The 13,231-nt window shown below is 39.0% G+C and overlaps 1 protein-coding gene across 2 annotated transcripts in view; it reads left to right on the top strand.

The window, feature by feature from the left end:
• The window catches only part of SPPL3 (signal peptide peptidase like 3), a 141,849-nt gene that overhangs the window by 99,080 nt on the left and 29,538 nt on the right, over positions 1-13,231 (top strand). The gene's annotated exons all lie outside the window — the stretch shown is intronic.

The raw sequence follows: 13,231 nt of genomic DNA, 5'->3' as shown, positions 1-13,231 counted from the left end.
TTGTCCATTTAATTTATATAGTATATTTTAACAGCTTTATTGAGAGATAAATACCATAAAGTTTGGTCACTTAAAGTATACAATTCAGTGGGTTTTAGTTTATTTACAAAATTGTTCAGCCGTCACTGTAATCCAATTTTAGCACATTATCATCCCAAAAGAAAATTTGTACCAGTTAGCAGTCATTCCCATTCCTCTTTCCCTGCCCGCCAGCCCTAGGCAACCATGAATCTACCTTTTATCTCTATAGATTTGCCTATTCTGGACCTCTCGTATAAGTGGTGTCATACAGTATGTGACCTTTTGTTACTGGCTTCTTTCACTTAGCATGTTTTTGAAGTTTATCTGTGTTGTAGCATGTTATCAGTATTTCATTCCTTTTTATTACTGAATAATACTTTTTGTTTTTCCATTCATTGGCTGATAGACGTTTGGGTTGTTTCCCTTTTTTGGCTTTTATGAATAATGTTACTGTGAACATTTGTGTACAAGTTTCTGTGCAGACATAACATATTTATTGCCCTCAAGCAGATACCTAGTAGCAGAATTGCTGGGTCTAATGGTAACTCTTAGTCTTAACATTTTAAGAAATGCTTCTGTTTTCCAAGGCAGCTATGCTATTGTACATTCCCACTAGCAATGTATGAGGTTTCCAATTTCTCCACTTCTTCACCAACACTTGTTATTATCTATCTTTATGATTATAGCTATTCTACTGTTCTGGTGGGTATGAAGTGGTATCTCATTATAATTTTGGTTTGCATTTTCTTAATGCCTACTGATGTTGAGCATCTTTTCATGTGCCCATTTGCCATCTATGTCTCTTCTTTGGTGTCTTTTCAACTCTTCTGTCCATTTTTAAATTGGGTTTTCTTTTTCTTGTTGAATTTTGAGTGTTCTTTCTTTATTGTGAAAATGGGTTTTTGTTATAAGTGCCTCTGGGTTTGTCTTTTCACTTTCTGTATGCTTATAATTGTTATCTATTTCTTGACTTTTATAAAATGTTCCTCTTTATCTCTAGTAACAGTTTCTGTCTTAACATTGTCCAAAAAAGGCTATTTAGATTTTCTTGAGTTAGTTTTTGGTCATTTGTATTATAACTCAAGAGTAACTAGTTCCTTTTTTGTAAAGGCAAGCACCTACCAATGCTTTCTTAGGTAATGAGGGCAGTTCATTTACGTATACCCAAACCTACTCTAGGAAGACAACATCAGGTTAGTAAGCCTGCAGAGATGCTGAGTTCTTTAATAAGAACTATACTTGATATGATTGTGATGCCCTTCATTCTAAGTGCATATAATTGTAGTTAGACCATGGTTCACCAGAACAAGTGTCACTATGGTTCACAATTGTCATGATGTTCTAATTGTGTGTAATATGTTGATTAACTTTTGAGCTACCCTTTTTGTCATTCCATAACTCGTCCTACTTGAAGAAAACATCATACACAGAAGCCTGAACTTGTTAGATGACGTAGGGAATGATTTTGTCCATTGCAGCGTGTGTAGACAAGTTTTTTTATATATTTAAGAATTTCATCAATTCACTATTAAATGTTCAATTTATAAAACCACTGTAAGTTTTCTAGGAACACATATTTAACTTAACCTAACTTTAACCATGTAATGTTTACCTTGAACCAGTGAGTCCCCGCTTCATTGTACTCACTTTCAATAGTAGAATTATCAAAAAACTTTCTTTTTAAAATTTTTTATAAATTAAAATTTTATTATTTTTTCATTTTTTCACTCCTTTCTGGAGCTGAGAAAAAAATAATGTTAAGGTTAAAAATTCCAATTTGCTTTTCTCCTCCAGTAATTCACAGTGTCCTCAGGTATCAGAATGCAAATGGATGAACGAGTATAACTTTCAATAAACTGATCTGCTCTCCCCTCCATTTTGCTTCCTACAATTGTTTATTTGTGCTCTTCACTGCCCGATTTCAGAGCATGTACTAACTTTTGCAAGTTACTTCAAGGAAAAATAAAATGGGGCCAAAGAAAACTAAAAGTATGAGTGGAGACAAAATAGAGCCAAAAAAGAAATGTAAAAATGCATACCATAATGCCAGCACTCCTGTTACTAGTGTTTCACAAGGACCACCATAAGCTTTGTAGCAGCCAGATTTAAAAAGAAAGAATGTAAAACTCAGCTTCCTTCCATCAAAAGAACTCAGTTGTTCAGGTGAATCGCAACTGTTCTTGGCCTTAAGATCAGACAGACTTTTATCCTAACGACCTTCATAAAGAGGATATAATGTTAAGTTCATTCATCTCACAGTAGGCATTCAAATAAGTGTTTGTTGAATGAATTGTAGTACCTTCAATATAAGTTGGTGGCATTGCATGAAAATGTATTTCAGCAAAAGCAGTTTTGCCAAAATTGAAGGTGCACAGTGGGCAACAGGATGTTGTTGTTTAGATAACCATCTTACTGCTAAGTGTGGTCTAAGGTTATATTTTGGAATATCTGGAGAATGAATGGGCTGTTAATTCTTAAACTGGTTATTCTTGAATGTTGATCTGTTAATAAATATTGGTAGCAGACCAGGCACGGTGGCTCACGCTTGTAATCCCAGCATGTTCAGAGGCCAAGGTGGGAGGATCACGTGAGGTCAGGAGTTCCAAGACCAGCCTGGCCAACATGGTGAAACTCCATCTCTACTCAAAATACAAAAATTAGCCAGGCGTGTTGATGCATGCCTGTAATCCCAGCTACTCAGGAGGCTGAGGCAGGAGAATCGCTTGAACTGGGAGGCAGAGGTTGCAGTGAGCCGAGATTGCGCCACTGCACTCCAGCCTGGGCCACAAACTGAGACTCCATCTCAAAAAGGAAAAAAAAAAAAAATATATATATATATATACACACACACACACACACATATATGTGTATATATATACATATATATGTATATATATACACACATACATACATACATACATATATAAAAGCAGCAGCCCAAAAATGTATTATGTTGCCAGCTAAATACAGACCTAGTTGTCTTAACAGCACTCATGGTGCATTCGTATTTTTATCAGAATGAAGGAACCTAATACCTAAATATAAGCCCATGTTTCCCCTTGTCCTGAGGCAGGCAGTGGAAGTTCCTAAAGGCAGGCCTAGAATCTTCCTCAGAAAATCCTTTTTAATCCACTCTAGGACATAAAGAAATGAGTAGTTGATTTCCTAAAGTTCTGTTCCTTGCAACTGAATTAATTCTAGCCTGAAACAAATTTAGGGCAAATATAACCAGATCTCTACCTCAGCCACACTAAAATCTTATTAAGGCACTCACAGAATATTAATATACTTCTTGATATAGTGTCTGTAATAAACTTCATGTGAAATGTACATCAAAGTGACCAAAACACCAAACTGGAATTTATACTTACACCCAATTTAAAGTTGAAGAATGTTGATGAGTTGTCATTCTAACTGACACTAATTAGCTGACAGGGTCAGTGGCCATCTGGACCTTACCCAGTTCAAGGCTAAACCATATCATTCACCTATAAAGCCTGCTGGTCTTAATATTTCTCTGTAGTAAGACAGCTCATGTGCAGCTTATCTAAAAATGATACCAGATCAAGTTTACTTGGGGAGAAATACTCTGTAGGTTTTTTTGTTTGTTTGTTTTTATGAGAAAAAAGCAGTATATACTAATGTGGAAAGATGTAGCGCGTCAAGCAGTGAGCCCATTACTTGGTGTAACAGGGCCAAGGGAAAACTTCCTCTGTGCCCCCTGAATCCTCGCTGAAAAATCCACTGACAAATAGCAGATTAATAGAAAAGGCATACAGATTTGTTAATGTGCACAAAAGTCTTACAAAATATAAGATCTCAAAAAAAAAAAATGGCCAGATGGCTGATGCTTTTATACCACCTTGAGGTTACAGAAAGAATGAGGGCTTGGAGTGTGGCAAGACAGGTTATGGTGGTAAATCAGGTTATGGTGGTGAGACAGATTATGAGAGAGAGAGAAGAGGAGGCCCAGCTAGCACAGGTGGTCCTGTCATGTAGATGAAACCTCACAGGTCGCAGCCCTGAGAGAGAATAGATGGAATATGTTTCTTTCTGACCTTCTAAGGTGTCAGACTCTCAATTAATCTTTCCTGTGTCTGGACAAGGTAGGGCCTCAGAGAAATGCCTCCACCTCATCAATGCATATTTTCTCTACAGATGCAAATCTGCCCCACACAGCTTCTCTCAGCTATTCTTGTATTTCCAGCCCTTCTGAAAACCATCTGAAATATGTCAGAGAAGTATATTTTTGGGTGAAATATTTTTGTTTCCTTCATAATTTTGCCAAGGCAGCAGGCATAAGCTGGAATTTGTGGTCACCCCACTCATGGAGTTTTTCTGTGAATCAAAAGAAACCTTGCCTGTAAAGCACCTAGCAGTGCCTGACAGTATGAGCTCAATCAAGCTTAACTATTATCATCATTTTAACCCCCTGGATGTTCTCAGCTGCTGAGTCAGAGACTGTTTCTTCCTGCCCAGGTTCTTAGTCTTTCTTTCTTAGTGTAGGTTCTATGTAAGTATCAATAATTGGACATTTGTTGACCTCCTACACCTTGACCCATAACTACTTCCTGTTCAGTCATAGTTGATGAAAAGACAAAAAAAAATAGCATATAATATGCTATAATTTAGATGGATTTTTTTTCTGTGATGGTAAATGGTTGTCTGTGATGAAAAAGCCATAGCTCAAGTCCTTCTGTTGATCATTTAAACATTGATTTCTTTTTCTTGTTTTGTTTTTTGTTTTTTTGTTTTGAGACTGAGTTTCATTCTTTTGCCCAGGGTGGAGTGAAGTGGTGTGATCTCAGTTCACTGCAACCTCCACCTCCCGGGTTCAAGCAGTTTTCTTACCTCAGCCCCCTGAGTAGCTGGGATTACAGGTGTGCGCCACCAGGCCCAGCTAGCTTTTGTATTTTTAGTAGAGACGGGGTTTCACCATGTTGTCCAGGCTGGTCTCGAACTTCTAACCTCAGGTGATCCACCAGCCTCAGCCTCCTGAAGTGCTAGGATTACAAGCATGAACCACCGCACCTGACCTAAACATTGATTTCAGTACCTAGACTTGCAAATAGCCAGGATACAATTTGGATGGAATGTATATTTATAACGTTATATTAACATCATATTATGTTACTGTATAGCAATAACAAGATTGTGAAGGCAGGTCAAGATGGAAGAGAATGAAGAGTAGTCTTCTGTGAAGATGCAGCGAACTGTTCTAGGTCCAACCTAGCAATCTGATGTCTATGCACTTAATAAATTACCAAATAAGCTAAGTTAAAGGCCTATAATTGAAAATAGTCCTGGATAGCTTTGGAGGCAGAGTCTTTTGCAAAGGCTTTATTTAAACAGCTTAAGTTTGCTGTCAGCTGTGCAGTGTGAGTAACTTTACCGGACCCCAGTCATAGTGGCATGGGATCTGCTAAGCCCAGGCCCTTTAAGCTTGTTGTATAAAGCTGGAAGATATGAATCTTCCCAGCTTGAGCTAATAGGTAAGGCCCTACTAACTCACTGTGCCCCATTTCTGTTTTGTGCAGCGGTGACCCATGGTCTGCTTCTAACAACCAAACAAGGCTTGATTTTAGCTAAGCTTGTTTGAGGCAGTGAGAAGTTCAAAGTCTTCTAATTACACAGAGAACTAGAAGAATGCTTGCTCTCCTTACCAGTCCTCCACCCTCCCCCACCATCTGATAGTACCTCATTCCTGCCTAAGGCTTTCCTGTCCCTGCTGCAGTTCTTGTCAGTTAGATGCTAAGAAAATGGACCAGCTAAAACTGGTTTGAAGTTGACCACTACTTTCTGCTACAGAAGATCCCTAGCTTACCAACGGTTTGACTTAATGATGGTTCAACTTAAGATTTTTCCACTTCATGATGGTACAAAGGCAGTATGATTTCAGTAGAAAGCATACTTCAAGTACCCATACAACCATTCTGTTTTTCACTCTCAGTACAGTATTCAGTAAGTTACTTGAAATATTCAGCACTTTATTACAAAACAGGCCTTTGTGTTAGATGATTTTGCCCAACTGTAGGCTAATGTACGTGTTCTGAGCACGTTTAAGGTAGGCTGGGCTAAACTATGATGTTCAGTAGGTTAGATGTATGAATATTAAACGCATTTTGAACTTGAGATTTTTCCACTTACCTGGGCTTATTGGGATATAACTCCATTGTAAGTCAAGGAGCAGCTGTATTTGAAAAAAGGGGAAAATCTTGCCTTAAAACATCCAGGATGGAGTTATAAATAGTTCTCAACTAATAACAAATTGAAATTGAGTTATATAACCCTTCATCCTGTCCCGCGGGGGGTTCTCAGCACCTATTCTCACTAACCCAGTCTCATGGGAGAGGCTCCGTAGCAGCTGTGCCTAGGGTTAAACCAAAGAGATGACTGGCAACCTTCCAATCCAGAATAGCGATATAATGCCAACAGAAAAAGTAAGAGAAGCTGGCAATCTGTGTAGCCCCAAGGGTAGAGATGTAGATAAAAATTCCTGCACATTTAACCTGCTGTCACCAGATTCTGAGAAGCAGAATATAACAAGTGTAGTTATTGTTATTCCATTCATAAGTGAATTTGAAAAACTCAATTTAAATTAATATATGTGTTTCCAAAACATGCCCACAGGGAAGGAGCAGTCTTCATGTTCCATTGACTCCAGAGACGTTCCCATTAAATGCATCACCAACCCTAGAGTTTAGGTCCTGCACATTGTTAGCTCTGCTGTGCGAAAACATGAATTAAAGCTTAAAAGATCATAGAAGTGAAACCATGTACTAGAAACTACCACAGGTGCGTTGGCAGGGGAAATATATGCAAAATACTACATCTAGTTTGTTGTGGAACTAATTAGGAAAAAGTTTTTCAGGAGCCAGTTGCCATAGCTATTCCTCTAAGTGTGACTGAGGTATGAGCAGTAAGTGTACGTTTTAATCTCTGCTAATGTGTCTTCCTCTGATGGCTGGAGAAATATGTCTCAAATACTGTATATGAATCTTCTAAAATCCAAGGCTTTTTTAAAATAAAAAAACCCCCAGGAAAGCCAACACATCAGACACCTGACCATATTTCAGAAGAGGAGTCTTAACCATGTTTCAGGGAGTCCACCACATCTAAAAGTCGCTGTGTTTTGGTCCTGCTGGGGAGCTGTCACCCACTGGGGCTGCCCTCCAGTGGAACAGTTTGCTAAACAGTTCGTTGGCCAGATTTATATGAGAACAGGGTGACATGTAACTAACCAGTCTCTACTTCATAGATTATCCTCCCCAGACCCCCCATTCTAATTGAGGCTTCCTTGGTACCAGTAACAGAGAAGGGAGTTTTAGTGAATGAAAGTACAGGAAACAAGAGTGGCAGCTAGAGTCAGGCTGTTAGTAGAGGGGCAAGTCTTTCAAATCCAGTAAGAAATTTTGAGTCATAGAGGTGGGAAACTACGAAGTTAAGATCATTATCAGTGTGACCTGAGCCCAGTCATTTGGTTAAGTTTCTTCCAGGAAGGATTATGACCTACCTCTTCATTATAGGATAGGATCCTCTGCTTTCCTAAAGAAAGGGATACAATTCATCAATGTTTTGGTACCCCCAGGGACATGAACAAGAAATTTTAAAAGGCCTTTTCCTTCACTTAAAAATCTGTCCAGTTCAGGACCTATTTAAAAGAACTACCTAGAGCCACTTGTACTTCCAGCCAAGATAGAGAAACAGAGACTGAATTACCATCCCACATGAAACAACTTTAAAAACAATAAAAAAAACATGTAAACCCTCATAACACAGCAGTTTTCAAGATATTTTTCATCAGACAACAAAGGACAGTATTCCTGAGAGTTGAGGAATAGTTTTCCCGTCATACTTATTTTCCCGTCAAACTATCTTAAGATAGTTTCCACTCATGGTGCAGAGAGAAAGATTTCTGAAGTTGAAGAGATGGAACTGAGAGTCCAAAGAGACGGCTAGAGGCAGCTAGAGTTAATAGAACAGAGTACAAAAGAAAAGAGAGCTGCAAAATGAAAAAACCCAGAGATCTACACAGAATCCTTGAACATTCATCCCAATTTTTTTGTTTGTTGTTTTTTGTTTGTTTGTTTTGAGTTGGAGTCTCACTCTGTCATCCAGGCTGGAGTGCAGTGGCACAATCTCGGCTCACTGCCACCTCCACCTCCCGGGTTCAAGAAATTCTGCCTCAGCCTCCTGGGTAGCTCGGATTACAGGCACCCACCACCACACCTGGCTAATTTTTGTATTTTTGGTAGAGACAGGGTTTCACCATGTTGGCCAGGCTGGTCTCGAACTCCTGACCTCGTGATTCGCCCGCCTCAGCCTCTCAAAGTGCTGGGATTACAGGCGTGAACCACTGCACCCACCCTCACCACAGTATTAATTAGTGTATGCATATGTGGAAATCATCTAAAGTGGAGGAAAGAATAATGTGAAAGGATTAGAAGGGAGAGTACCTGCTTCCAAAAGCCTGATTGGAAAAACTTACAATTCATTTGGCATTGGATAGAGTACTCAGATCTTGCCTCAATGATAGAGAATAATTACCCTAGACTGAGCACTGCTTCAGACCCACCTAATAAATCATGGAAACAAAAATAAAGCCAGGTATCTAACAGCATCCCTGATCAAAGCTCAAAATTAATAGGAATAAAAAATATTTAGATAAGGTAAAATTCACAATGTCTAGCATACGTGCAGAGATGACCAGACAGGCAAAAAAGGAAAACATGACCCAGGATGAGGAAAATAATCAGTCAATCAAAACTGACCCAGAACTGACACAGATGTTAGTATGAGCAAAGTACATCAAAACAGATATAATTGTATTCCATATATACAAAAAGTTAGATAGATACATGGAGATTATTTTTATTTTATTTTTGAGACAGAGTTGCTCTGTCGTCCAGGCTGGAGTGCAGTGGCGTGATCTCAGCTCACTGCAACCTCTGCCTTCCGGGTTCAAGCAATTCTCCTGCCTCAGCCTCCCAAGTAGCTGGGACTATAGGTTTGTGCCACCATGCCTGGCTAATTTTTGTATTTTCAGTAGAGACGGGGTTTCACCATGTTGGCCAGGCTGGTTTCAAACTCCTGTCGTCAAGTGATCCACCCACCTTAGCCTCCCAAAGTGCTGGGATCACAGTCGTGAACCACTGTGCCTGGCCAACATGGAGATTATAAAGAAGAACGAAATCAAACTTTCAGAAATGAAGACAACAATGTCTGAGATGAAAAATACACTGGATGGGATTAACAGCAATTAGAAACTGCAGAAGAAAAGATTAGTGAACTTGAAGGCACAGTAATGGAAATTAATCCAAAATGAAGTACAGAAAAGAATAATTTTTTTAAACATGAAAAGATCATAATGGAGCTATCATTGAACATTAGAGAGAAACCTCCAGTGGCCTACTGTATGGGTAATGGAGTCCCTGAAAGAGGAGAAGAAAGGGAGGGACAGAATAATACATGAAGAAATAATGGCCAAGTTTTTTCTAAATTTGATAACTATAATCTGCAGATTCAAAACTGCAGATTATAAGCACAAAAAACATGAAGAAAACTACACCAAGACACATAATCAGTAGCTCAAAATGAGTGGTAAAAGAAAATCCCCAAGGCTGCCAGAGGGGGCAAAAAAGCATGTTAGGTACAGAGGAGAAAAGATGAGGGTGATGTCAGATTTGAAAATACAAGTGAAAAGTCAATGTAACGGTAGCTTTAAAGTACAGGAAGAAAAAAACTGTCACTGTAAGATTCTACAGCAAAAATATCTTTTAAAAATGAAGGCAAAGTAAAGATGTTTTTGACATACCATACACTACCGGAAAGAATTCATCTCATCACCAGCTGTCTTACACTAAAAAATGTTAAAGGAAGTCTTTTGAGCAGAATGAAAATGGTACCAGCCTTAAATCTGTATTTACACAAGGGAGTTAAGATCACCAGAAATGAACATCCATCGATAAAAGTTTTTTTCTATTTACAGTTGTGTAAAAGATAATTGACTGGAGCTGGGCACAGTGGTGTGTACCTGTAATCCCAGCTACTTGGCAGGTTGAAGCAGAAGGATTGATTGCTCAAGCCCAGATGTTTGAGACCAGCCTGGGCAACATAGCAAGATGAATGAAAGAATGAATGATAATTGACAACATAAACAAACATTATATATTGTGAGGTTTATAAGATAACATGTAAGAGTTAAATGCATGGCCACAGTAGCACAAAGGTTGAGGGAGGGAAATAAATATAAACTATTGTAAGGAGTTTATACTATACATGAATGTTACAATATAACTGGAAGGTAGACTGTGTTAAAGATGTATACTATAGACCCTACAGCAGCCACTAAAATTAAAGAGCAAAGAGTTATAGCTCATAGGACAACAAAGGAGATCAAATTGGATCATAAAAAATGCTATATTAATCCAAACAAAGTCAGGTTAAGGGGAAATAAAATAGGACAAGTAGGAAACAAATAGTAAGATGATAGGCTCAAACTTAATTGTATCACTGATCACATTCAATGAAATTGGTCTACACACCTCTTTAAAACAGCAGTTGTCCAGGTGCAGTGTCTCACGCCTCTAATCCCAGCACTTTGGGAGGTCAGGGCAGGCGGATCATGAGGTCAGGAGTTCGAGACCAGCCTGGCCAACATAGTGAAACCCCGTCTCTACTAAAAATACAAAAATTAGCAGGGTGTGGTGGCATGCGCCTGTAGTCCCAGCTACTCGGGAGGCTGAGGCAGGAGAATTGCTTGAACCTGGGAGGCAGAGGTTGCAGTAAGCCAAGACTACACTGCTGCACTCCAGCCTGGGTGACAGATTGAGACTCTGTCTCAAAAAAATAAAAATAAAAATAAAACAGCAATTGTGAAATTGAATAAAAAAGCAAGACCCAAATATATGCTGCTTACAAGAAGCACACTATAAAGCCAAAAAAGGTTAATCCCTGTTGTCTAGTGGTTAGGATTAAAAAAAAAATAGTTAAAAGTAAAAGGTTAGGAAAAGATATGCTGCTTATACTCATCTACAGAAAGCTGGAATGGCTGTATTAATATAAGACAAAGCAGCTTTCAGAGTAAAGAATACTACCACAGACAAGAAGGTTATTTTGTAATGACAAAGGGGTCAATTAAGCAAGAGAGCATAACAATCACAAATGTTTATGTATCTAATAAAAGATCTTCAAAATACATGAAGCAAAAACTGAGAGAACTGCAAGGAGAAATAAATTCACAAATATAGCTGAAGATTTCAGTACCACTCCCAATAATAGAATAATTAGGCAGAAAATCAGTGAAGATACAGTGGATTTCAACAATACTCTTAATCAATTTGACCTAATTGACATTTATAGAATGTTCCATCCAACAACAGAACACACGCTCTTTCTCAAGTGTATGTGGAATATTTACTAATGCAGACCATATATGGGGACATGAAACAAATCTCAATACATTTAAAAGGATTCAGGTATGAAATCTGATCTGCATTAGCCCAGGCTGCCATGAAATACCCATAGACTGGGTGGCTTAAACAGCAAATTTATTTTTTCAGAGTTCTGGAGATTGGAATTCTCAGGTCAGGGTGTCAACATGGTTAGATTCTGTTTTCCAAAGTGTCTGCACCAGTTCACATTCCCACTAGTAGTGTATGAAGGTTCCAGTTTTACATCCTTGTGTCCTTGCCAACACTTAGTTATCTGACTTTTTTATTATAGCCATCCTGCTATGTGTGAAGTGGTTTCTCATGGTGGTGGTTTTGTTTTGAGGAGACAGTGTCTCACTTTGTTGCTCAGGCTGGAGTGCAGTGGTGCCATCAGCCTTGACCTCCTGGGCTCAAGTGATCTCCTACCTCAGCCTGGCGAGTAGCTGAAACTGTAGGCACATGCCACCACACCCAGCTAATTCTTTTATTTTTTATAGAGACAGGGTCTCACTGTGTTGCCCACATGGGTCTCAAGTGAGCCTCTTGCCTCAGCCTCTCAAAGTGCTGGGATTCCAGGCGTGAGCCACCGCTTCCAGCCAGTTTCTCATGGTTTTGACTTGTATTTCCCTGATGACTAACGGTGTTGAACATCTTTTCATGGGCTCATTGGCTATTTGTGTATCTTCTTTGAAGAAATGTCTCTTCAGATCCTTTGTTCATTTTAAAATCAGGTTGTCTTTTTTATTATTGAGGTGTAAGAGTTCTTTATATATCCTAGACACAAGTCCCTTATCAGATACATGATTTGCAAAGATTTTCTCCCATCCTATGGGTTGTCTTTTGACTTTTTGGTTAGTGTCCTTTGAGGCACGTAAGTTTTTTAAGTTTTTCTCTGTTTTTTAGCATCATATCTAAGAATCTACTCCAAATCCAAGGTCACAGAGATTTACCATGTGTTTTTATCTAAAAGCTGTATAGTTTTAGAAGTCAGTTCCTCTGTCCTACCAGCCACATTTCAGTGATCACATGATGTGGCTGATGTCCACAGCACTTGTCAGTGCAGATAAAGACCATCATAACAGAAAGTTCTTTTGCAAAAAAACAACTTTTTTTTTTTTTTTTTTTTTTTGAGACAGTCTCACTCTGTTGCCAGGCCGGAGTGCAGTGGCGCAATCTTGGCTCACTGCAACCTCTGCCTCCTGGGGTCAAGCAATTATCCTGCCTCAGCCTCCCAAGTAGCTGGAACTACCGGCACGCACCACCACGCCCAGCAAATTTTTGTATTTTTAGTAGAAACGGGGTTTCACCATGTTGGCCAGGATGGTCTCGATCTTCTGACCTCGTGATCTGCCCGCCTGGGGCTCCCAAAGTGCTGGGATTACAGGCGTGAGCCACTGCACCCACAAACACCTTCTTTACAGGAAAACACTAGCAGAAAATTAGCTAAGAACTTGGACAGATACTTCACAAAAAAAAAGAAAGAAATGAGCAAGCTTTTGTACACAACATTATTCACTGGTTAAAGAATTCTAAATCAAAGTGACGTGCCATTTTTAGTTCCCCAGATAGACAGTGACTACTTCCTTCAGGTCTTGACTCTGAAGTCACTGTCAGTGAGGCCTTCCTGTTCATCCTGTCTAAAATTTCAAACCCTAACCCCTGCATTTCCTAGTTTTCCTCCTTAGCACCTGCCATGAACACGCTATGTATTGAACTTATTTTTCTGGTCTATTACATCTCCCCCCTTGAATATAAAATCCAGTCTTGTGTTTGCTATT

Source organism: Homo sapiens, chromosome 12 (assembly GCF_000001405.40).
Source record: "Homo sapiens chromosome 12, GRCh38.p14 Primary Assembly".
Taxonomy (NCBI): Eukaryota; Metazoa; Chordata; class Mammalia; order Primates; family Hominidae; genus Homo; species Homo sapiens.
This window is presented reverse-complemented; position numbering and strand designations above follow the sequence as displayed.